Here is a 26,081-nt window from a genome sequence, read left to right as displayed (position 1 = left end):
TTGCCCATAGTTAAAATGTGTTGATTTAACCAAAAAACAAAAATAGGCTGGGCACAGTGGCTCATCCCTGTAATCCCAGCACTTTGGGAGGCCAAGGTGGAAGGATGGCTTGAGGCCAGGAGTTTGAGACTAGCCTGGGCAACATAGCAAGACCCTGTCTCTACAAAAATAAAAGAAAATAGCCAGGTATGATGCTGCACACCTGTTGTCCCAGCTACTCGGGAGACTGAAGCAGGATCACTTGAGTCTAGGAGGTGGAGGCTGCTGTGAGCTATGATCGTGCCTCTGCATTCCAGCCTGGGTGACAGAGACCCTGTCCCTAAAAAAAACACAAATAGAAAGTGGTTGAAGGCAATTCACTCGCAGTTGGCTGCAGTCTGTTTCTCTCTCGTACTTGGGGCTGAACTAGCCTCAGGAGAAGGAGGCTCCCGAGCCCCGTAGTGTGATCATTACAACAAATAACGCAGAGGAGAGGTTTGCTTCCCATTCTGCCTCCACGCCCTCCAGCCTGGCTCATCCACATACACATCGTCTGCCACCGTGTTCCCTGTTGTGGACTGTTTTGTTAAATCTGCCTTTTCCCTTCTTTTTTTCCAGTCCACCTAAACCCACTGTGTTCATCTCTGGGGTCATCGCCCGGGTAAGTCTGGGAGTGTCTGCGGTGGGTTTGAGGCTTTTGCATGGCAGCATGGAGTCTCCTGGTTGCTTCTGGTTTTGTTAAACTCTACCTGGAATAACCCAGCACCACTGCTCATCTCCTCTGTGGCCATGGCTCTCTTCATTGCCGCGTTTCCCCAGAGGCTGCTTCTGCAGACCGCAGGCCAGACTCGCATCCTTTACCTTTCCAGAGCCGCCGTCTGGTGAGACCCAACATTGTGACTTAAGCGCAGACCTCCCACCAGTGAACTCCCATCAGCAAACCCCCGCAGTGAACCCCACAGTATTGCCGTCCATAGGGCTGCTGTTCTCAGAACATTCACTTTCTTATCAGAGGATGCCTGAAGAAAGTGCCAGTGTTGGGGACAGCCCACTGTTGGTGGAGCTGTGACCGCAGCCAGCCAACCTGCCAGCCAGAGAAGTGTGGCTCCAGCCTGCCCATGTGGACCCCACCCTGGCCACACCCACAGTTGGCACAGAAGCCCATTGATCCCTCTGGAAAATAGGGAGTCCCTCCTGAGACTGGACAGGCCGAACCTGGCTCTGTCTCGTAGGCGCCCTGTGCATTTCCTTCCCAGCCAGCGTCCCAGGCCTGGCTCACAGCTGTGGTGGCACATCTGAACTTAAGATCCTGGATTTGGTTCTGTCCTGCCCCCAATTTAAATAGTCACAAATACAGATGTAGCAGAAGAAACCCCGCAGCATCCAAGTCAGTTCTGTGGGAGTCGCATGTTCCTGTGTCTCACGGCATGGGGCAGAGCCAGTGAGCATTCTTGCTGTCCTGCCAGTGTGTGGGCCTCAGTGCCACCTGCCATTCCCTGGTTTTGATTGCCCAGGCCCCCTAACACCCACAAGGGACAGACTTCCACCTTCCTTTATCCATTCACAGTCCACGCCTGCCCTGCAGGGACGCTGGTGGGTGCTGGCCTGGGCTTCCTCACATACAACTGCCATGCTTCCTGCAGGGACGCTGGTGGGCGCTGGCCTGGAGCTTCCTCACCCACAAACCCCATGCTTCCTGCAGGGAAGCTGGTGGGTGCTGGCCTGGGGCTTCCTCACATACAACTGCCATGCTTCCTGCAGGGACGCTGGTATGGGGCTTCCTCACCCACAAACCCCATGCTTCCTCCAGCGACACTGGTGGGCGCTGGCCTGGAGCTTCCTCATATACAACCGCCATGCTTCCTACAGGGACCCTGGTGGACGCTGGCCTGGGGCTTCCTCACATACAAACCCCATGCTTCCTGCAGGGAGGCTGGTTGCTGCTGGCCTTCGGCTTACTCACATACAAACCCCATGCTTCCTGCAGGGACGCTGGTGGGCACTGGTCTGGGGCTTCCTCACCCACAAACACCATGCTTCCTGCAGGGACGCTGATGGGTGCTGGCCTGGGACTTCCTCACATACAAACCCCACGCTTCTTGCAGGGACGCTGGTGGGCGTTGGCCTGGGGCTTCCTCACCCACAAACACCATGCTTCCTACAGGGATGCTGGTGGCTGCTGGCCTGTAGTTTCCACACATACAAACCCCATGCTTCCTACAGCGACGCTGGTGGGCTCTGGCCTGGAGCTTCCTCATATACAACCGCCATGCTTCCTGCAGGGATGCTGGTGGGCGCTGGTCTGGGGCTTCCTCACCCACAAACACCATGCTTCCTGTAGGAACGCTGGTGGGTGCTGGCCTGGAGCTTCCTCTTATACAACCGCCATCCTTCCTGCAGGGACTCTGTTGGGCGCTGTCCTGGGGCTTCCTCACATACAACTGCCATGCTTCCTGTAGGGACGCTGGTGGGCTCTGGCCTGGAGCTTCCTCACATACATACCCCATGCTTCCTGCAGGGACGCTGGTGGGCGCTGGCCTGGGGCTTCCTCACCCACAAACACCATGCTTCCTGCAGGGACACTGGTGGGTGCTGGCCTGGGGGTTCCTCACCCACAAACACCATGCTTCCTGCAGGGACACTGGTGGGTGCTGGCCTGGGGGTTCCTCACCCACAAACACCATGCTTCCTGCAGGGACGTTGATGGGCGCTGGCCTGGACGTTCCTCACATACAACCGCCATGCTTCCTGCAGGGACGCTGGTGGGCGCTGGCCTGGGGCTTCCTCACATACAAACCCCATGCTTCCTGCAGGGGCGCTGGTGGGCCCTGGCCTGGGGCTTCCTCACATACAAACCCCATGCTTCCTACAGGGACGCTGGTGGATGCTGGCCTGAGGCTTCCTCACACACAATTGCTATCCTTCCGCAGGGACGCTGGTGGGCACTGGCCTGGGGCTTCCTCACCCACAAACCCCATGCTTCCTATTGATTAACCTGAGCTTTCCGTGTTTCCTGACAGGGTGACAAAGATTTCCCCCCGGCGGCTGCGCAGGTGGCTCACCAGAAGCCGCATGCCTCCATGGACAAGCATCCTTCCCCAAGAACCCAGCACATCCAGCAGCCACGCAAGTGAGCCTGGAGTCCACCAGCCTGCCCCATGGCCCCGGCTCTGCTGCACTTGGTATTTCCCTGACAGAGAGAACCAGCAGTTTCGCCCAAATCCTACTCTGCTGGGAAATCTAAGGCAAAACCAAGTGCTCTGTCCTTTGCCTTACATTTCCATATTTAAAACTAGAAACAGCTCCAGCCCAAACCTTGTTTATGGGGAGTCTGGTTGGATGTCATTTGAGGATCATTGTGCCCCTAGAGGTGCCATTAGCAGAATTTGCCAAGATCCGAGAAAAATTTTAGCTTTAGTTCTATTTCAGCAGTCACCTGACGTCCTTGTCTATGGTCTTAAAAACAAGAAGGCACACATTTGAGAAGATGAGATTAAGGTTAGGAGAAAACCTCAGTCATTGCATGCTTTTTAGTATGGGCCAATAAAATCTCAACACCTGTGGGAGAGTAAGAACTAAGGGAATGAGTTTGGGCGGCCCCTCATAAAGGACCTTAGAGGCAGGGAACAGCAATGCCAAATTTCCCTCTCTCGTGAGATGGGGGATCCTGTGCAGGCTGATGAGGCACCCATGAGAAAAGCCGAAAAAGCATGCATCTTAGAAATAGCCCCTCAATTCCAGGAGTCAACATGCCAAAGAATGAGGCTGGAGACAGGTAGCTCCGAGGGAGGACTTCTGGCATGAGATCTCGGCACGGCAAGCCCAGCATCGCCTCAGCCCAGACAGGCTCCACCAGGAGATCAAGCAAGGGCTGCCTTTCAGGAGTCACCTCCTGAGCCACTTCAGAGTTCTGGAAGTGACCACGGACCAGGGTGGAGGAATAGACTTCTAGTTCATTCTGGGACACTTGAGCCAGAGAGTTGAAAGCTTGGAAAGACCAGATAAGAAACCTGCCCTTTGTCTCCCTAGGGACATGAGACACCACATTCCATTTGTGCTAGAAAAACCTATCCACTGATGAGTCTAACTGTTCCAAACGCCTCCCACCTGGTGTGCACAGCTGCCTGGGTCCATTGTCACTTGGGTGCATCAGGTTGTCCTCCGATTTTTAGATGAGTTTCCTGTCTAGAGATGTCCTAGTCTGCTCACTGGCTGGTGGCAGTAGGGTACCCTGCGTCCTCGAAAAGCCAGAGGGTTCACCTAGTCAGACGAAACTCCAGAACAGTGCTTGTGGAGGGCCTGACTGTCCTGCTCACCCACAGCCGATCTGCTGCAGGTCAGCAACTGTGTCGTGAGCAGCTGCCAACCACCAGCCTTTCTGGTGCTGTTCTCCAGTTCACGTCTGCCAGCTGGTGAGGGCAGAGGCAGACCTGGTCAGACCCAGCGCCCCTCCTCCCTGAGGGAGCATGGCACAGCCTCACACTTGAAAGACGGTGTTTGGTTTCCCATCTAATCAACTTAAGGGAAGCCGGCATGTACCCTTCAAGGCCCTGTCACCACCTATTTCCTGATCAGTTGGTATAAACTGAGGGTGGCTTTTAGAGACCCAGACTTGGTTGGCAGCGCTGCCATGGAACACCCCAGCAAGCACCTCCCAGCCTGCCTTTCGGAGCAGCACCCAGGAGGGGATGCCGCGCTCCAGCAACACCAGGTCAGGCCTGTGCAGACCCCTGCCCTGCCGCTGCAGAAATCCAGAAGCATCCTTAATGCTTCTCAGTCTTCAGCCAGAGGGAGGGCTGTTATTTCCAGAGGTGCGCTTTTTATGTACTTTTAGCTAGATGTGGCATGCATCTGTGAGCTTTAGATCATTAAATCCAAAATGTTTGCCTAAATGAGTTTATCAGTTGTTAACTTCAAGAATATTAAATGATTTATAATAAAGCTCCTGCATTTCTCTCCAGCTTTGTTTTTTCTTATAGATCAGAGATTCCCTTTTACATTTTACCAGGGTTGCCAGGTGGTTTCAGTAGAAATACAAACGTGTACATGATAGGTATTTTCAAAACTTATTTTCCAGATAGAAAAGTAGAACTGTTGGACACCTGGTGACTGGAGTCTAATTATCTACTTAAAATGTCAGAACATGGAAAAAGCTTAATACCATTGATTAAAACATATTACTTGGGCCCAGCAGCTGGCCTGTGCCAGGTAGGCCCTTTGGGAACAGATTTAAGAGAGAATGATGAATAGTAAGCCCAGGGGTGACAGTGAGCAGCTTTTGATGTACAAGATGTTTGCCTTAATCAGAAGGTCTCCTGTAACCCTTGTGAGAAAATAATCACAACTATTACACTGGCAATCCAGAATCAAATCAGAATTTGAGTGGGAGGGGCCTGAGGTTTTCTCACCCAGGGCCATATTTGTCAGGGAGCACCAGAGAGAGCACCAGGGGCCACATTCAGAGCCCCGGCTTGGGAGTGGCTGGAGCCCACGCCTCCAACAACCCTGGCCTTGCCTGGTGTTGCCTCTGAAGCTGCTGCTTGTATTCCTGCCTCCTGTCTCCCATGCTAAGCTGAGGACAGGAACCAGGGCCATACTCATTTTCTGTCACTGGGCAGAGAGTCCATTCTCAGTAAATACATTGTGGTGGCCAGAAATGCCAAGCATCCAACAAGCATGGAACAGAACCACCCCCAGGGCTCTCCACATCATTCCTGAACATCATTATCCTGTGTCAGTTTTCTATTGCTGCCTTAACAAAGTCACAAATTAAGCCACAAACTGGGTGGCTTAAAACAACAGGAATGTATTCTCTCACAGTTCTGGAGAGGTTTGAAATCAGTGTGTTGGCCAGGCCACACGCCCTCCACAGACTCAGTGGGAGTTCCTGGCCTCACCCAGCTCCTGGCGGCTGTGGCCATCCTTGGCATTCCTTGGCTTGTGGGCAGCATCACTCTGGTCTCTGACTCCGCTGTCATATGGCCATCCCCTGTCTATGTGTCTGTCTCCAAATCTTTCTTGTTTTCTGAGGATACCAGTCATTAGATGAATGCCCACCCTATGCCACTATGACCTCGCCTTCACTAATTACACCTGCAGAGACTCTGTTTCCAATTAAGGTTACATTCAGAGGCACTGAGATTTAGGACTTCCACATATCTTTTGGGGAAACATCGTTCACCCAAGAACATCACCCATGTGCTGAAAAGCCAGAAACCTCACTCCCAGCTCACACCATTTGAAGAACAGTTCACTTAGTGCATCACTTTTCTGCAAAAACTTTGCTGGGAGAACCTTCACCTGCTGCAGGTTTCATGATAAAGCATCTCTAGCCGTGCAGCAGCCCAAGCCTGGCTGCAGGACGTACAGAGAAAAGACTGGAAGCAGAGACATGAAGGGACAGGACCCTTGGCTGCAGAGGCTGCCTGTCCCTGGGTCCAGTGGCTGTGGGATTACTTGCTGTCGCATGTGTCCTCAGCCCAGAGAGTCGCGGTGTTGCCACTGTGCTCCATGGATGGTGGTTGTACCATTTTACAGGAGGAAAGACTGAAGTTCAGCATCCAGTGTCAAAGCCACTGTTAGCAGTTGGCCAATAAGCACATCAAAAGATGCTCAACGTCTTTCGTCACCAGGGAGATGCAGATCAAAGCCACAATGAAATACCACTTCACCAAGATGGCTAGAACCAAAAAGTCTATGGCACAAGGGTACTGACAGGAATGCAGAGAAATTGGAACTCGTACAATGCTGTTGGGAGTGCAAAATGGTGCAGCCACTTGGGAAAACAGTCCCAAGTGAAAAAACAGAAAAACAGTTTCTCAAGTGAGAAAACAGTTCCTCAAACAATTAAACATAGAGTTATATGACCCAGCAATCCACTCCTAGGTATATACACCCAATAAAAATGAAACATGTCCATGCAAAAATTTGTAAACGATTATAGCAGCATTATTCATAATAGCTAAAAGGAAGAAACAACACAAATGTCCATCCACTGAAGAATGAATAAACAAAATGTATAGCCACATAGTGGAGTACTACTCAGCCATGAAAAGGAATGAAGGACTGATACACACTACAACATGGATGAACTTTGAAAACATCATGCTAAGTGAAAGAAGCCAGTCACCAAAGATTACTTGTGTGATGCCATTCATATGAAATGTCCACAACAGAGAAATCTGTAGAGACAGTGCTTGCTTAGGGCTGGTGGGGGGCAGGGAGAGTAGGGAAGTGATGGCCAAAGGGTACAGAGTCTCTTCTTGAGGTGATGAAAATATTCTAAAATCAACCATGTTAATACTTGCACATAACCTTGAATATGCTTTTTAAAAGCCATTGAATTATACACTTTTAGGCGAATTGTGTGGTATGGGAAATACATCTCAATAAAGATGTTTATTTTAAAAGTCACTGTTAGCAAATGGCAGAGCTGAGGCTTGAATCCAGATCATTCTGATCCCACAACCCATCACACCTCACCCTGCCATGGTCTAGGGACTAAATAACAGAAAACACAGAATGTGGTTTGATGCGAAGGGCAAGGGGGTCAAGAGCATGCTGCGGTTTCAAGACTGGATGGCCAGGATGTTGGCGAAGGTGTTAAGAAAAGCCAGCGTGAATGGAGGAGGAATTAACATGGGAAGCAAGAGACCATTCTGGGCAGACTCCAGTGTGCCCACGTGGCCTCCAAGCAGAGCTACTGTGCAGGGCTTTGACAAGGTGAGACCACTGCTTGGAGGGATGCCAGGGCTGGAGAGACATCTGGGATCCATCTGCTTGGAGATGCTGATAAAGGCAGGGACTCAGTGACGGAGAGGCCATGGAGACACACTGAAGGCATGAGTGCAGAGGTGCCAGGTGAGGGAAGGTTGGAGAGGCACACCAGCACACACAAGGTCATGAGTGCCAGGGGGTCTGGCAGATGGGACACAGGGAGCTGCAGACAGGTGACTGCATTCCATCACCCTGTGACCCTAGAGCAGGGGCTTCTGGTAAGTGGAGAGATGGAAGCCAGATTTCGCAAAATTAGGAATGGAAAAGTTTGCCTATAATGGGAAGCTATAGGTAAGACCTTCACTGGAGGGGAGGGTAGGTTTGAAGAAGAAAAGTTGTTTTTAGCCTGAGCTACAGGGAGACTTGGACATGGTTGTGGGGAAAGGCCCCAGAGTGATTTAAGGCATAAGAAAGAGAACAACTGCATGATGTTCATTGACAGCAGAGGTCCCGGGGCCCCACAGAGGGTGAGTTCATGAGCCAGAGCAGGAAGGTCACCCTTGAGGGGAGGCGAGAGGGACAGAAGTCAATGTGGACGCAGGAAAGTCACACTGAGGTTGGGAAGAGGACAGCAGAGAGCACCCACCGCAGATGTACAGCCAGCCTTCTCAACAAACCTATGAGAAAGCTTCTGCAGAATAGGGCGCTGAGAAGATCAGGTTGTTTGAGATGCAAGGCCACTAACGGATGATTCGAAAGATTACTGAGCCTGGAAAGACGGAGCTGAGACAGGAGAGTGGATCTGTAGTGGAAGTGATGCATCCAGTCTTAGGACTTTCTCTAGCCATGACCGGGGGAGTTTGGAAGAGGTAGAGGCTGCCTGCAGTGAAGCGTGGGGATTAACATGGGGCCAGAGCATGGCCATGGGCCGAAGGATCAAGAGCGCTTCCCACAGTGCCCACAATCACTGAGCCCGGGACCCAGCCCAGGGGACAGGGATGGCTGACTCACACCAGGTGCTCCTTCTGTGCAGGCGTGCGTTACTGTCTGAGCCATAGACGCGCACCATCTGCTCCAGGAGATGGATCCCCATGTTGTCATACCCATTTACAAGATGAGGAAACTGAGGCTTGGAAGACTTGGGACTTGCACGCAGGCAGTGTCACCGTAAAGGCTTATGTTCAATTACCAAACAAACGTTATCACCTGCTAGCCCAGAAGGGACAGATATCATGGAAAGGGCAGCTCGGGGGTCTGAAGGAGGCAAGAGAGACTGGCAGTCAGAGAAACTCAGGGGAGCTAGTCAGCAGGATGGCAAGGAGCCATTTGAGGAAAGTCGAGGAAAAGAGAAAACCTGGAAGGGTCAGTGTGGATGCTGAGACCCCAGAGACTATGAAACTGATACTGAAATCCTCAGGGAAGCAGCACATCCCAGGGGTGATTAGATGACAGCAGTAAGGACCGGGAAAGGCTGAGCTTAAACAGAAGGCATAAAACACGGAGAAAGGAGACCTGTAAGGAGGACAAATGGTGACCTAAAAACCCCCACAGGGAGCAAGAAGCTCTGCTTAGCTGCTGCCCCTGGATTAGGGACACAGTGTGGGGGACAAGCTGTCCTCTGCTGTGCAGAGCCGGGGAAGACAGGGTCGTGAGCACCTATGTGTGGTAAAGGCCAGATGGTGAATGGCAGGCTTGAGGAAGGGAGAGGGGGGATGGCACTGCACCGGGGCAAGCACAGGCTCTAGAGTCACCCCTGCCCAGGCTCAAACTTCAGCCCTGCTGGAGCAAGAGGCTCCTCCATCAGCGTCTCTGGACCCCAGTCTCCACCTACCCAATTGCACCTCTGCATTCTCAGTTTTGTGAGCATGAAAAGAAGTCATACACGCTAACCTCATGGTTAATACAGATGCTCAGTAAATGAGAGGCGTGACTGGGATCATGAGGACAGGGGTCCCAGTATGGACAAAGGGTGCTAGAGGGGTACAGAGATTTGCAGTTGGCAAGAAGATTCCAGAAAGGGATGGTTGGATCAATGCCAATCAAGACTGTGTTCAGAAACAATGAGGAGATGGAGAGGAGGCCAGGGGCCCAGGTGAGTGTTGGCGGAGCAGGGATGGGCAGGAGGGTGCTGGGCCCTAAGGACCCTCCAGGGGCTACCTGTCACCCAGAGGTCAGCGGCGCGTGCGTGCCTCTGGTTCCCGCATGCCATCCACCGCAGTCTCTGGACTCAGGTGGCCCCAGCACAAAGCACAGCGCCTTGAATGTTTTCGCTGATAAATTTCTTCATAACGTTTACAAGTGTTACTGGAATGATCCAAGACTGGAGGGGTTACCAAGAGGAGCACATCGTTTTCCAGTGCCCCTGACTCATTCATCTGCTGCCCCATGGACCACAAGCCCTGAGCTCTCCCCTGCGACCACCCGAGAAGCAAGCAGCCCCTCCCTGTGCCTGCAATGTGCCCCTGGGACATCCCTGTTGCTCCACCCTGACCCAGAGGCTAGGTCCCTGGGGCCACCCCCTCTCTCCGCAGACCCCTCCTGGAGGGAGAGAATCCCTGGGACATTTCCTTTCTGGGTCCAGGGAGGAAGGAGAACAGGGACCCTATTCAAATGTGTCCTGGAGTTCTGCCACCTCGACACCATTTCAAAGAACCTCCTTAGCTCCAGTTCTTCAAACTAAAACCGGCCCCTGATGGAGCCAGTGCCTGGACCGCAGAACCCGGAAGCTCAGGCAGGGCTCAGGTTCAGTTGCCTCCTGCCACTTACTAGGTTTGGGCACCAGGTGAACCCCCGTGTGTGTATCAGGAAGTGAAGCTACAGGGTGTGATGTGCCCATGGCTTGGACAGGAACCTGGTCAAGGAGACCGTGGAATGACCACCAGCCAAGCAGAGGGCACACCCAGGCCTGGATGAGCGCCACGCAGGCAGCCTGAGAAAGGGCAGGGATTGGGGGCGAGAGAGCAGAGCCATGGGGAGATAGGGCCAGACCCAGTGGGTTTGTCATTCATTGGTTATTGTTAAAGCATCTGCCTCTGCCTCGGCAGCCCATGCTATTCTGCTGTTCTGCAGCTTTTCTTGTCTTCACAGCTGCTGTGCTGGTTAAATGCTGCTTTTTACAAATTCGAAAGTAAACTTTTTCCCTAAGACTTGGCATCCTGCTGACCTCTGCAGTATAAAAACAAAAACAAAACAAAACAAAACAAAAAAATAGGCATTTTGTAACCCTCCCAGGAGGCGCCGGCAGCCATATGCGCCTGAAGAATGGGGAGGGAGGGAGGGAGTTGGTGGTGGTGGCGAATCATGAGGCTTTGCGAACTTGAGACATCCTCATCACAGTTGTATTCGCCAGGTCCTCCAGAACCAGTAGGGTGTGTGTGTGTGTGTGTGTGTACATGTTTATCCGTGTGTACACACACATGCTACACATATAGGAAGAGACTTATTTTAAGGAATTGGCTCATGAGAGTATGGAGCCTAGCAAATCCCATATCTGCAGGGATGGCAGGAAGCTGGAGGCCCAGGAAGAGCTGGTGCTGCTGTTCAAGTCCGAAAGCTGTCTGCTGGCAGAATCCCTCTTGCTCAGGGAAGGTCAATCTTCTGTTCTATTCAAGCCTTCAACTGATTGGATGTGGCCCACCCACATAATGGAGGACAGTCCGCTTGACTCAGAAAGTCTACTGATTTAAATGTTAATCTCATCCCAAAACATCCTTATAGAAACATGTAGGATAATGTTTAACCACATATCTGGGCATCATGACCCAGCCGAGTTGACACATAAAATTAGCTAAAGTAAGTGTTCATTGCGGCTGATTTTTCTCTGGGTCCTTAAAGCATCTCGGATGTGTTTTTACTTCGACCTATCTGCACATCTTTACAACCTTCTGTCTAGCATTCACCTTGCTCTTTCAAACAGTTTCTAAAATTCAATTAAGGGCATTCATGACAAGAGAAAATTAGTTTCCCTCATCCTCCCCTTTAATCCTAAATATTTTCATAAATCCAACTGCCATGCTTTCAAAAAAATCTAATTTGTCAACTGGAAAAGCCCCAGCATGGTCTGCTATAATGAACTAATATAATCTGGAGGATTTGGAACTCTACCCAGAAGCCCGGAATGAGCTTTTGATTATATTTTGACATCAGCATTCTGCACTGCCAAGGGTCACTTAAAAGAAAGACTCCAACATTTTGCAGCATAAGGACTCAGTTTCCTGTGCAAGTCACCAGAAACCCACTTGTGTTAGTCTTTAAATAGGGATGTACTGAGAACATGGAATGTGCTTAGAGGACTAATAATGATCTTCATTATTTCTAGGGCAATGATTTTCACCTGGGGGTGATGTTGCCCCCCCAGGGAACATTTGACACTGTCTGGAGGTTGCTAGTAGATGGAGGCCAGAGATGCCACTAAAAATCTATAATAATGCAATTAAACAATCAAAAGCAAATTTCCCTCAACCTGGAATCCTGAAAAAAAAAAAATACATGTGTTTCAGTGATGACAGCACGTTTCGTGGAAGCAGCTAACGTAGCTCAAGCTTGTGTTTTCCAGTTCCTGGAGCAGAAAATAGTAAATTGCTGTGATGCAGATTTGCTCCTGGACGCAATGGAAAATTTTAGATAAAGCAAATCTTTGCCTTCAGGGAGAGCGTTCAGTGGCTCTCCAGCATAGTGTTTGTTTTCTCAATCACTGATACAAAGAAGAGCCAAGATCAATGTCCTCGGTGGCTTCCCAGCACACTCACCTAGGGCAGGAAGGACAGTCACACTGGCTTTTGGCTCAGCGATTTAAATATTCTCAAAAACAGGTCTAGAAACCTCTTTGCAAAGAATTGCAGCTGCTTTCCAAAATGAACCATGTGTCCCTCAAGTTGATTAACCTCCCAGATATCAGTGTGCATGGCAAAGGGATAAATAGCTGAGAGGAAAATGTGTGTGTCTGCAGAAAAGCAGCATGAAAAGAAACTCATGTAGGTAAAGATCTCCTTCAGGGCAGGGACTTTGCCCTTGTCCTGTGTCCCTGTCTGCTAGCAGAATTCCTACCTATCGCAGCCGCTCAACAAATCCCTGTTTCTATTACAGGAGTGAAGGCTAGATGTGAGTTCTGGGAGAAAGTGGTCATTTCTTACCGTACCTGGCACTTACCCAAGCCTCCAAACTAACTGGATGATAGACTAGGAATGCTGGCACCCACCATTTCCGTCAGACTCTGAAAATGTTCAATTAGTTGGTTCCGCTTTTAGCTGCAACATGTGCAACTAGATTGCGTCACGCATATATAAAAGACAAATTTCAGAGCACTGTACAAAACAAAACTTTTCAAAAGATGCAAGTTTCATCACAAATTCCCTACCTTCTATACCAATGACACCTCCATCCTCACCCAGTGGGACCAGTGGCCAATGCAAGAAACCCACATCCTGAGACTTGCCCCATCACAGGCAAGGCTGTGCCTAAGAAGACAAACTGGAGTACAAAGCATCTCTAAACAAAAACAACCACAGCCATAATTAATACATGCATAAAAACAATACCTAAGAAATGGTATTTGGGGTAATTATGAATCATTTCCATCATGCATACTAAGGAAATCATCTCAAATTGCTTTGTAATGTCACATCACATATATTTAACAGCCCTAAATGATGCTAAGGACTTCATATATGTATTGTTTAGTTTCACAGCTAAAGTATTTTCGCTGCCTTAATACTATTTTTTTTCAGCCTAATAGTTATTCGGCTATCCTCACAGATGCTCTTAGTATATCAAAAGGATCCCAAAGAAAGTTATCCTAGGAAACAATAACAAAACCAAAAGATTATTACTTTTCAGGGGCAACACTATTGCAGTGTCTAAGAAAGAGCATTAGATCACTAAACCAGCATTTTCTTCAAGGACAATTAACTAACCTGAACATAAGACAATGACAAATGGGCATTTATTAATTAATTAATGCTTTGTTTAACCCATATAAATTTAGCCAGAGTTATACTTTTTCTTTCATTAATCACAAAAGTCTTGAAGTAGACAGATTTCCCACTGAAGGAGATTCTGGTCCTAAATCACCACCGTCGTGATCCCCATCACCATCATCACCACCATCATCACCAGCACCATCATCACCATCATTGCCATCATTGCATTACCATTACCATAATTACCATTATCATCACCCTCATCACCATCATCACCATCATCACCATCATCACCACCATCACCACCATCACCACCATCATCACCATCACCACCATCATCACCATCACCACCATCACCGTAACTACCATCACCATCATCACCCTCATCATCATTGCCATCATCACCATCATCATTACCATCATCACCATCACCATAATTACCATCACCATCATCATTACCATTATCATCACTCTCACCATCACCACCTTCATCATCATTATCACCATCATTACCACCATCATTACCATCATTGCTATTATCACCATCATTACCACCACCATCATTTGTCATCACTATCACCACCACCACCATGATCATAACCATCACCACCACCACCACTATCACCACCATCATGATCATCATTATCATCCTCCTCCTCACATTTATTGGACACTTACTATGTGCTAGATGCTCACATATCCTACTGGTAGACATTTTCGTCATTGCTGTTTTACAGGTAAGGAAACTGAGGCTTAGTGTGGTAAAATAACATACTTAAATCATATAGCTAGTAGGTGGCAAAGCTAAGATCAATATGACAGCTATGATTTCTACCACCAACTTTTAAAGAGCAGGAAGCTCCACTGTCATTTTCACACATTTGATTGATGGAACAAATCAATCCATCATTCAGGTGAAAGTAGGACCCCAAGAGTTAGAGGAACAGCTAGGTCCTCCAATTGTCAACCGTTTAGGTCAATAATTGGAACCTCACAGGTGTCTAGGTCCTGTTCCCAGGATGGTAACACTATAAGTCTGAAACCTATTAATCTTGAAGAGATGTCATCATTGTCAGTGATAACAATGACAATGACAGTGGGCCATATCATGAAAAGGAGGAAATCTTTAAAGACCAGACTTCAGTCCTGCTTTCACTGTGCAGAAATCCAACTCTATGCTCTAGACCCTGTCTCTCTCAGCACCAAATAGGACCCCCTATGCACACATTGCAGGGCTGGTCTTCAGGGTCCCTGGAACAGGGAACTGTAAGAGAAAGTCCTATGGGGCAAGCAGGTCTAGAATGATGAAGAGCTCCAAAAATCAGACAGAGAAAAGGATGGGGCCTCTTCCCTCTTGCCCCCCAGGAGACGTTTCAGGAAAGAAAACACAATAAAGAAACTGATTTTCTTGGCTTTGCTGCCAAGTTGCTTCCCAGTGTCCATTCTCCCCTCTGTCTTTGGACTGGAGCCGCGTTATATCCACGCCAGCAATTGGCCCAGTTCTACTGCTCCATTTTCCAACCTAGCAGTAAGTGTGACTCATGACTGAGTTCTGGTTAATAGGCTATATAAAAGGATGGTATCTTAAAGGGAGCTGACTCATCCAGAAGATTTGCCTGTTTTTCCCCCTCACTTCTTCCTCCTGCCTGGAAAACAGGTGTGATGGCTTGTCCTCCAGCAGCTACTTCAGATCATGAGGCAATGAGGGAATACCAGCCCCTTCCAAGGATGACTGAACAGAAGGAGCCTGGGTCCCTGGTGACAGTGGCCCCACCATGATCGCCCCAGCCTGCCTCTCTGGACTTTGTTTATGGAGACACAAACCCTTAAGTATTTAAGCCACTATTTTCTTGGTTGTAACAGAAAAGTTTGGAGTAGAGATTTTGAGGCTGAACACCCCGGATTATATCTCAGCACCTTCACTCACTAGCATCAAGACCTTGGATAGGTTACTTGACCTCTCTGTATCTATTTCCCCATCTGTAAAACGAGCATGAAATGGTCTCTATGTTATGTCATGTTTACGTGACTTGCAATTAGAGGACCTAACTATTCCTCTAACTCTTGGGGTCCTACTATGGTAGGCACTTTTATAAGTATAGGCCATGATCATGATCATGATCATGATGACAATGACAGTGACAATGATGGTTACTGGGTTTTCTGTTATGTGCAGGTAAACCTAACCTGGTACATATGCTCACAATGGCCAAGCCAGAATGGGTTTTCCAGAACCTTGAACAAAGGAAGAGACATTACTCTTCAATACCTTTCAGTAGCTCCCCTGTGAAACCATGAGCTCAGAACAGCAGAGGCCGACCAGACGTGTGGCTCACACCTGTAATCCTAGCACTTTGGGAGGCCAAGGTGGGAGGATCGGCCAAGCCCAGACATTCAAGAGCAGCCTGGGAAACATGATGAAACCCCATCTCTACAAAAAATGCAAAAACTAACCAGGCATGGTAGCACACACCTGTAGTCCCAGCTACTTGGGTGGCTGAGATGGGAGGATCGCTTGAGCCTGGGAGGTTGAGGCTGCAGTGAGCCAAGAACCCCACCACTGCACTCCAGCCTGAGCAACAGAGCCAGACTCTGTCTCCAAAAAAATAGAGTAGAACCCACTTTCAAGACAGAGCACACTGGGGCAACAGAATATAACCCGCCTAGCCAACTACTGGTTCAATTGTGCTAAGTCAGCGTTCAAGTTGTGGACAATAGAAAGGATCTCCAAGGATGTGTGGGGCAAAGGAGGGAAGAAAACATACAGAGACTAAAAGTCAAGGCTGAGGCCCCAGAGGGAGCATGGGTGCCCAGCAGGGGGGTTGGTGGAGTTGTCCCCTTGGGTGGGGCCTGTTGTAACTGACTCATCCTTCACCTCCTCTTTAACCTTCGTTTGGTAAGCTCTGCATCACTGGCTGTGGAAGCCGGGTTCTGCCATTTTCTCTGTGTCTGTTCTCACGGCATGACCCTGGGATACAATCAGACCCAGTATCAAGTATGTCTGCATGGATGTCAGTGGGCCTCATGGGACTTGTTACCAGTGCAGCCCAGAGCCAGGTACATAGGAAAAAATGTGGCCTTGCCCACAGAGGGGTTCTGGCCATTTCCCTCAGCTCTAGGAGGTGACTGATGGCATACCTGATAGGAGTGTCTTTGTTGGTGGCAAAGGCTGGCCACATGGAACCTTAGCATAGAGCCAGCCACATCTGACAGTCTCAGGATAAGAACTGGCCATGCAGGAAAGACCAACAATGGTGGCTTTGAGTTACACAATATCAGTGGCCTTGGTGCCTGATTTCAATTACACATGTGATCAATCAATCATTCTTTCATGCTTATATAGTGAGGCCCCAATACAAATTCTGCACACTGAAGCTCTGGCAAGCTTCCTTGGTTGACAATTCTCCATGCATTTGTCACACATCAATCTCAGGAGGGTGACACATCCTTAGGACAGTGGGAAGTTTCACATTTCAGACCCTCCCTGACGCCCCATGCTTCTCTGCCTTTGGCTCATTTCTGTCAGTGCCCTTGCCCTGTATTCAATGAGTATAATAGCTTTCACTGAGTTCTGTGAATCCTGTTAGCAAACTCTTAATGCGGGAGGTAGCTTGGGGAACCCTCCAAGCTTGCAGCTGCTGTCAGAAGTGAGGGCAGACTTGGAAACTATTTCCTGAAACCTCACAGTCTGGGTGCCTAGTGCACCCATAACCTTTTTGGGAAACAGATGTAGACACAGGCATCGAATGGCTCCATAGCCACCTCAGCCCCATTTCTTTATGCAGCTGCCTCTGGCCAAGGCCCTTCTCTTGGGGGAGCAGTTGCTGCCCGAGGGTCAGGAGCATGCCACTCTCTGTGCTCGGTCTGGGCAGGGAGTCTCAAATAAGACCCCCTTGCATACTGTTTCATTGGTCAGAAATACAGGGGCAGTGGGCCGTGTCTGAGCATGTTGTCACATGCCTTTCTCAGCCCTGATTTTCTGAAGCTTCCCATGTGTCCATAATTTCTTTACAAAAGCGGCATGATTTTTCCTCGCTTGGAGATGAGAAAAGAACCTGGACATAATGAAATCATCTATTGGCTGTGTTCTGCAGTCTGTAGAGGCAGCAGCAGGCCATGCTTGCTGGAGCTCTAGCCCTGAGGATGCCAGCACGGGCTGCAGTTGGGTGCCACCTGCAGGGTGAAGGGGCCGAGAGGAGAGGCTCCATTGTTTCACAGAAGGCCCACGTTTCCTGTCGCCCTAGCTTTTCTCCTAGTTCCAAGTGGCTGGATGGTGGGAGAGCAGATTTGGGACACCATCCACCCCAGAGGGGTCCCCTCCTCTCAGAGGGCCCCAGACCAGGCCTCTTCGCCACACCTCACTCTAGGCTCTGAGAGAAGCGGGGGGCTTCTCCTGGGGGTCCCCGACTATTCTTACCAGGATTGGAAAGATTTGGGCCCAGATGGTCTGGGACGCTGTTGCTGGTACTGAGGACACCACGGGGTCTTCCAGACCATGATGACAGCATGGCCCTAGGGACAAGGAGCGAGTGCATCTCTTCACCTGCTAGAAGGCCACGCACCAGAGCCGGGGCTCACACAGGGCCTGGGGCAAAGAGCTGTGGTCTGATTCTCCTGGAGGAAGACCTATAATGGAAGGTGTGAGAATTCAGAAGGATTTTAAACAGCAGTCCCCAACCTTTTCAGCACCAGGAACTGGTTTTGTGAAAGACAATTTTTCCAATGACTGGGGTCGGATGGGTGGCCGGAGAGGGGGCAGCAGATGGTTTCAGAATGAAACTGTTCCCCCTCAGATCATCAGGCAGGTACTAGATTCTCATAAGGAGTGCGAGACCTAGATCCCTCGCATGCGCAGTTCACAATAGGGTTCAAGCTGCCATGAGAGTCTAATGCCACTGCTGATCTGACAGGAGGCAGAGCCCAGGCGGTAACGCTCGCCCACCCACCACTCACCTCCTGCTGTGTGGCCTTGGCCAGCACCAGGCCTTAGCCCGGGGGTTGGGGCCCCTGCTTTAAAACACACCCCACTGCAGGCTGTATTATGCTGATCTACCTTCCATCAAGAATTGCTGGGGGGTGGGGGAGGTTGGGGAACTGTTCCTGATCGGTGGGGGGGTAGGAGGCAGAGAAGAGATGGAGAACCCCTGAGGACTGTCAGTCAAGGTGATGGGCACAGAGTCTGTGCTCAGAGTGGCCCCCAGCATCGTTCTGTCCAGGACTGGCCCAGGCAGGGTGTGCAGCGAATTCAGAAGTTTGCTCTTCTCTAGGACGTAACAAACACTGTCAGAGTCACACAGAGAGTATGCATCCAAGGCTGGAGAAACTGTGTAGCCAGGGGTGGAACCCCGTCTCTGCCCCTGAAGCCCCCTTCTCACACAGCCTAGAATACGTGGACTGCTAAGCCAGTCGTTTCGGGAGAAGAATTTATTGCCATGTACACTTACCAGAGTTCTGAGCAAGGAGATTTAACCTTTCAGCAAGGAGATGTGATTTTGGTTACCAAGAAGATGGTGACCGGTGGACAGGAACAGTGGGCGACAAGGCCGGAGTCTTCCCTTCTAACTATGTGAGGCTTAAAGATTCAGAGGGCTCTGGAACTGCTGGGGAAATCAGGGAGTTTAGGAAAAAAACCTGAAATTGCCCAGGTTATTTCCTCATACACCGCCACGGGCCCCGAGCAGCTCACTCTCGCCCCTGGTCAGCTGATTTTGATCTGAAAAAAGAACCCAGGTGGATGGTGGGAAGGAGAGCTGCAAGCACGTGGGAAAAAGCGCCAGATAGGCTGGTTCCCAGCTAATTATGTAAAGCTTCTAAGCCCTGGGACGAGCAAAATCACTCCAACAGAGCCACCTAAGTCAACAGCATTAGCGGCAGTGTGCCAGGTGATTGGGATGTACGACTACACCGCGCAGAATGATGATGAGCTGGCCTTCAACAAGGGCCAGATCATCAACATCCTCAACAAGGAGGACCCCGACTGGTGGAAAGGAGAAGTCAATGGACAAGTGGGGCTCTTCCCATCCAATTATGTGAAGTTGACCACAGACATGGACCCAAGCCAGCAATGAATCATATGTTGTCCATCCCCCTCTCAGGCTTGGAAGTCCTCAAAGAGACCCACTATCCCATATCACTGCCCAGAGGGATGATGGGAGATGCAGCCTTGATCATGTGACTTCCAGCATGCTCACCTACTGCCTTCTGAGTAGAAGAACTCACTGCAGAGCAGTTTACCTCATTTTACCTTAGTTGCATGTGATTGCAATGTTTGAGTTATTACTTGCAGAGATAGGAGCAAAAATTACAAAAATACACAGGGCAGTGGGTCCTTTTGTGGCTTTCCTAGTTACTCAAATTGACTTTCCCCCACCTTTGCACAGGTGCTTTCAATAGTTTTAAAGTTATTTTTAAATATATATTTTAGCTTTTTAATAAAATAAATAAATGAAAAAAAAAAAAAGAATACGTGGACTGCTGCTGGGTTTCATTAAGCTGGCCCAGTGCCTTCATCCAGTCTGCTTTTCTGGGAGAAGAGCCAGGCTGAGCCTAATGGAGCAGGTACTTTCCGCGTTGCTGTCTCCCGGAGGGCTGATTTCGCTGGTTTCCATTGCCATTTAATATGCCCCTAGTCAAAAAACGCCCACATCGAAGCAGCCTAATCAGCAATGTCCTGCAGCATTTGGGAGGACAGCCACCTCCCACACGCCAATAGGCGGCCGCTGGTGGCAGGTCACTTTTCTGAACCCTGGGCACAAGGGGTGAGGAGGTGGACCACTGCCCCCAGCCTCGCTTCTGGCTTCCTGCAGCTCCTGCTCATCCCCCAGGAAGGCAGCTCTGTCCCTGGGAATGAGTCATTGCCAGAGACGCAGAGGGGAACAGGTGCCAACAGGGGAGCTGGAAACCCCAGCTGGACCCTGGACCCTGGAGCACGGAGTGACTGGAGGCCCTCTCTCTGCTCCTGCCTCTCTATGGGGTACAGGGGGCTTTCATCTGGGGTCACTGGGTGGGTTTGGTGCAGGTTCCAGCTGTGAACATTCTTTTAGTCTCAGGAATGGAAAAGCCCAGGCAACCGCAGCTGTGGCCCCTGGATAGTCAGGAAACTTTTAGAGCTGATGGAAAGTGAGCCAGTGGGTGTGGGAGACAGGGGCTGGGGGGAGGGTTAAAACTCCCTCACCTGCAGCCTCAGTGACTGGCCCTCTGGAAGATGACCCTGGGTGGTCCTGGATTTTGTAGCCATCTGTTATTTAGTTTGAAGCAGGACAGAGAAAGGCAGGAAACTACCTTTTAGTGGCCTCCAACTCTGCAGCAGCCTTGTTAAAGATCTGAGTAGAATTTCTGTCATTTAATTAAATTGTTATGCAAACCCTACAATCCCCACTTTACAAATGAGGACCCTGGGCATGGGAAATTAAATAACATGCCCATGCCCCACAGCCAAGGCGGGCAGGGTTGACCCACAGGCCATGCCGTGACTCCGAGGTCCGGGCTGCTGCCCTGGGGTGGAGAGCTGTGCTCTGCTCATGGTCCCACTCAGTCGCAAGGCCCAAGTCAAAAAGTAGCCCCAGCCCTCCTCTCTGTCAGCTCACCAATACCAGGGAGCAACTCCTGTGGGCCAAGCCCAGTTTAGGTGCTGGGACGGACACATCATGGGGAATGGACACCAAGCAGAAGAGTATAGAAAATGCCATAAAGGAAAGAGGAGGGTGACGGGGGGCAGCGCACCCCAAGGGGAGCTAAATTTAGCTGGGGGCCCGGCAAGGACCTGAGCAATGACACTGGGCTGAAGGCTGAGCAGGGAAAGCAGGAAGAGGAACAGCAGATAGGGCCACACCCCATGGGCCTCCAGGCCATGGGACAGGGGCTGGGTGGTTTTTCTAGGTGCAACCAAAGACTGCTGGCAGGTTTTGAGCAGGACAGTGGCAGGATCTCATCCATACTCTCAACAGATCCTTCTGCCCATTAAGGGAAGGATGGATTTGCGGGGAACGAACGTGGAATGAGGCCGTTGTCTGGGAGGTGTGATGGTAGCTCAGGCTAGGCTGGTAGCAGAGAATGGGTGAAGGATTTGAGGTCTATTTTACAAATAATACAATATAAAGCCTGAAATTAAAATTCAAGATTTTTTGCTCCTGACTCTGGGTGAACCCAGGAGAGAATGGAGTGGTCCAACCATGCGCTGTGCTCCCTGCTCTGCTGCCGTGGATACGGCCCCCAGCCAACCTGCCCTCCTGTTGCAGGACCAGATGCAGCCCTGTCCTGCTCTGCTGCCATGGATACGGCCCCCAACCAACTTGCCCTCCTGTCTCTGGACCAGACGCAGTCCTGCTACCCCTGCAGAGCGGCTTCCATGGCCCACCAGCCCCTGCAATGTTCCTAACGAGCCGATTGTATCTTCCTATGGAGACGGAGTGGGGGCACCCCATCTTCTCGATACCACGGAGCCTGCCTCTCCCAGGTCCTGGTTGTTCACACTGTTCCCCCTGTGGTCTGTGTGGCAGGCAGTGGCCTCCTCCTGGGCTGTGAGTGCATGTGGTGAATACACCACTGTTGACAGTGTGTCCAGTGTCAGGTGTTGGGTGCGCAGCCAACCCGATGCCCCAGGGTGGAAATCTCTCCCTCACGCAGATGGAGAAGTTACCATCAGATTTGCAGCTGGCCGGGGTGGTGGGATGAGGGCCCTCCCAGGCTCTCAACATCCTTATTCAATAGTCTGTGGTAGTGGTGTGGGTTTGTGTCCCCTGCAAAATATGTTCAAGTTCTAACCCATGTCCCTGTGAATGTGACCTTATTTGGAAATAGGGTCTCTGTCCATACAAGCAAGTTAGGATGAGGTTGCACTGGATGAGGGTAGCGATGAGCCAATGGCTCGTGGTCTTATAGGAAGAGGAACATTTGGACACACACACATAGACAATGGCCTCGTGATGACAGAGACAGAGACTGGAGACCCTCTCCACAAGGAGGCCCTCTCCAAGGAATACCAAGCGTCGCCAGCAGCCGCCACAGGCTGGAGGAGGTGCGAGGGAATTCCCGCAGAGCCTTCATGGGGCGCGCAGCCCTGACAACATCGCGTGACCTTGAACTTCTGGCCTCCAAAGCTTTGAGAGAATACATTTGTTTCCAGCTATCCACATTTGCGGTAATTGGCTAAGGCAACTCGAAGAAAGGCATACAGGTGGGGCTGGAGAACCTGCATTTCTGACAATTTTCCAGGTGGTGCTGATGTTACTGGTCCGGGGACCGCCCATGGAGAGCCATGGTGCAGGTAAATGCGGTTCATCACTGAGAAGATGAGAGTTGCCGCAATGTCTCAAGGGCCACCTGGCCCTGAGTCCACGATGAGGACCAGCGTGTAGAGTTAGAGGAACACAGCCTGGGGCTGAGCACGCAGAGGAGACACTCAGGGGCAGCACCTGCAAAGCAGGGGGAGGAAGCGCAGGTGGCGGTGGCTCAACCACCCCTACCTGCCACCTCTCATGCTCCAACAGACATTGTGGGCTTAAATCAAGCCAGGAGACGCTCATGTGCACCTGGGAGGCCCTTTCAGATGGGGCTTGGCGAGGCAGGACTTGTCATCCCTTCAAATGATCACCCTGGCCTATAAGCAGGTCAGGGCCCCCGACAAGGGGTGAAGGGGCATTGGGGTGCCCAGGGCTGACACCAAGGCAGGCCCTTTTTGCAGGACACAGACTGGCCATCTTTAGCCCAGGCTGGAGGGTGGCTTCCCCAAGTACCCCCTTGCACTGGGAGTGAGGACATTCCACAGCTTTTTCAGTACAGGGTACCGGCTTCCCCGCACAGTCCGTGCACCTGAACCCTCCTGTCTCCCTTGGCCTAGAGAGGGGCCTCCTAGTCTAGCTTCTCACCTAGGCTGTAGGGATGAATAAGGCTTCTTTCTTACATAAGAGCTAATAAAAAGGTGAAGTATTTTCCTTGCAGCTGACCAATTTCTTGATTGGTTTTTAAAATACTGCTTTTGGAATATCAAGGTGCTTTTGAGTTGGATTGATGTATTTTAATTATTTTTAGCCAAAAGAACCTATTAACCTTTTGCTAGGTTTCTGTTGGCTTTTTAAGGGAAAGCAGTAAAGGGCTTAGGCAGCATAAGGCTGGAAGTACAGGTGATGTGAGGGGGATGGCGGTGGTGGCCGTCCTGCCCGGGGGCTGTCACCCCTTCCCCACCCCTGCCCAGGCCACACTGCTGAGGGATCAGTGACCCCTCAGGACTGGGAAGCCCCTGGCTGGCAAGCTGACAATTTCTGCCTGAGCAATTTGCACATCAAAGTTGTCATCAGACTGGAAGCTTTGGGGCCACCTTTCATGTCCCTGGATGGAAACCAGCCTGGACATCATCAAGGAAAATGGCAGGCATGACCTGCTGGGAGCAAAGACCATGTAAAGGGCCTTGGTGAAGGAGGATCACAAGGGGCTATGTGTAAAATCCTCAGCGGACGTTCTTGACCACTTCAGCCCAGCGTGGGCAGACACAGCCGCGAGGCAGCTGGACTGGGCCAGCTCCCTGGGAAGATGCTCCCATCTTCCACGGGAAAGAACTTAGTACACCGTTCCCCCAGTATCTCCAGTCAGGAAGATGAAGGAGACAAGATCACCTTTCTCCCAACCCTCCCCAACCCCATTTCCCTTTTCCCGTCCCAGTTCTTTGGATTTCCTATGGGGATCCTCCCTTGTGTGTGACCTTCCTATTCAATCATGTTTCACCCAACACACACACATTATTGGCTCTTTCACAAATGAGCACAAATAATCTCCAATAACAATCTTGCCCTAGGACAAAGGTTCATATGTAAAATTTTATTCCCTACTTAGACTCTTCCTTAATAATCACATAGATTATGGTATTTAATGATTGAGACTTCCGATTTCCTACGTTCGAAATGGAGCTTCCCAAATAAATAGGGGCTGGTTGTTTTCAGTCCCATCAAATATAACCTAAACGAGTTGTGTATACAGGTACATGTCTTTCAGCTAAAAGGAAAAAAGCAAAGTACCTATAGGTCATTAGAAGAAAATATAGAAGAAAAAGATTGTTCGTTTGGGGTAGGAAAGGCCTTCTTAAAAAAAAAAAACACAGGATGCAAATACCAAAACAAACAAAAGTTAGACAAATTTGACTAAATCATAATTTAAATCTTCTACACTACAGAAAATACCTTAATAAAACAAGAGAAAATGCACACCACATGAATGAAATATGATCCCAAATACATATCAACCTCCAGCAAAAATGACACCAAAAAGTGAAATAATAACCAAATGAGGGGCCAGGTACGGTGGCTCATGCCTGTAATCCCAGCACTTTGGGAGGCCGAGGCGGGCGGATCACTTGAGATCAGCAGTTCGAGACAAGCCTGGCCAACATGACAAAACCCCGTCTCTACTAAAAATACAAAAATTAGTGCCCGTAATCCCAGCTACTCAGGAGGCTGAGGCAGGAGAATCGCTTGAACCCAGGAGGCAGAGGTTGAAGTGAGCCAAGATCGTGCCACTGCACTCCAGCCTGGGAGGCAGAGTGAGACTCCGTCTCAAAAATAAAAAAAAAACAAAATAAATAAAATTCCACCCACCACCCCCATCCTTAGAAAGAAAAAAAAAAAAACACCAAATGAGACATGGCTATAAATAAGAAATGTGTAAAAATAGGAAATTAAAATGTTGAAAAACAGGTGAAAAGATGTTCAGCCACATCAACAACTGGGAAAATGAAATGAAATGAAAATTAAAACGAGATACAATTTTCTAACTATTGGGAAAGGGCCTCTCTTGCTCCCTGCTGGTGGTTGCACACACCACAGAGCTTTGCAAAGTGCACCATGGCAGTGACTATAGCAATTAAAACACATATTCTTTGAAACCTGGCAGATCTCACTTCTGCACTCCTATCTTAAAAGATATCCATTTGTGTATACAATTGGGTAGGTACAAGGATCTTCATTACTAGCAAATCATAAAAACCGGGACCATTTGAAAAGTTCACCCATGAGAAAATGGTTAAATGAACCATGGTGCACTTCTGCTGAGGAATACTACACAGCAATGAAAAAGAACAAAGCAGGGACCAACATGCCCTTCCCAAAACACAGTGAGTGAATGAGACTCTATATCCCATCGGGTTCTGTTTGCACAGTACGGAGGGAAGAACGCATTCAAAAGGTATTTCTAAAAGGATGTACAAGTAGCTGGTCTGAGGGACTGTCTTGGGGGAAGGTAAAGTCACTTTCATCTGAGAACTTTGTACAATGTTTACATTTTTTCTCATATTTGTGTATTACTTTTTTAGCTGTCAAAAGAAAATATTTAAATTCTTTAAAAAGCTCTCTAGGGACATATTTTAAGTAAAGAAAAGAAACTAATGGACAACCTGTACAGTGTACCATTTAGGTAAAAGAACACATAGAAACTGAATTATATTCTTGTTTTTATGTATGTACATAAATTCATGGCAACATC

General features: G+C 49.7%; 1 protein-coding gene and 1 pseudogene across 2 annotated transcripts in view, besides 2 other annotated features; both read left to right on the top strand.

Moving 5' to 3' along the window:
- The window catches only part of DAP (death associated protein), an 82,005-nt gene extending 77,066 nt beyond the window's left edge, over window positions 1–4,939 (top strand). Inside the window, exons 3-4 of one of the 2 annotated variants that reach the window (NM_004394.3) lie at window positions 598–640; window positions 3,000–4,939. In NM_004394.3, coding sequence (NP_004385.1) covers window positions 598–640; window positions 3,000–3,113 — 157 coding nt within the window. In that variant the 3' untranslated portion in view covers window positions 3,114–4,939. The remainder of the gene's footprint in view (window positions 1–597; window positions 641–2,999) is intronic. The other variant, NM_001291963.2, reaches the window with a different exon arrangement.
- Window positions 1,924–2,424: an enhancer, noted in NCBI's record as "H3K4me1 hESC enhancer chr5:10681857-10682357 (GRCh37/hg19 assembly coordinates)". NCBI's record gives its function as "activates a minimal SCP1, AML or CMV promoter by ChIP-STARR-seq in primed H9 embryonic stem cells {active_cell/tissue: H9 hESC(primed)}" and the evidence as "EXISTENCE:reporter gene assay evidence [ECO:0000049][PMID:30033119]".
- Window positions 9,594–10,294: an enhancer, noted in NCBI's record as "H3K4me1 hESC enhancer chr5:10673987-10674687 (GRCh37/hg19 assembly coordinates)". NCBI's record gives its function as "activates a minimal SCP1, AML or CMV promoter by ChIP-STARR-seq in primed H9 embryonic stem cells {active_cell/tissue: H9 hESC(primed)}" and the evidence as "EXISTENCE:reporter gene assay evidence [ECO:0000049][PMID:30033119]".
- On the top strand, window positions 19,010–20,061 carry ITSN1P1 (ITSN1 pseudogene 1; annotated as a pseudogene).

This window comes from Homo sapiens, chromosome 5, assembly GCF_000001405.40.
Source record: "Homo sapiens chromosome 5, GRCh38.p14 Primary Assembly".
Taxonomy (NCBI): Eukaryota; Metazoa; Chordata; class Mammalia; order Primates; family Hominidae; genus Homo; species Homo sapiens.
Note: the sequence above shows the minus strand (reverse complement) of the source record. Positions and strands in the feature narration are given on the sequence as shown.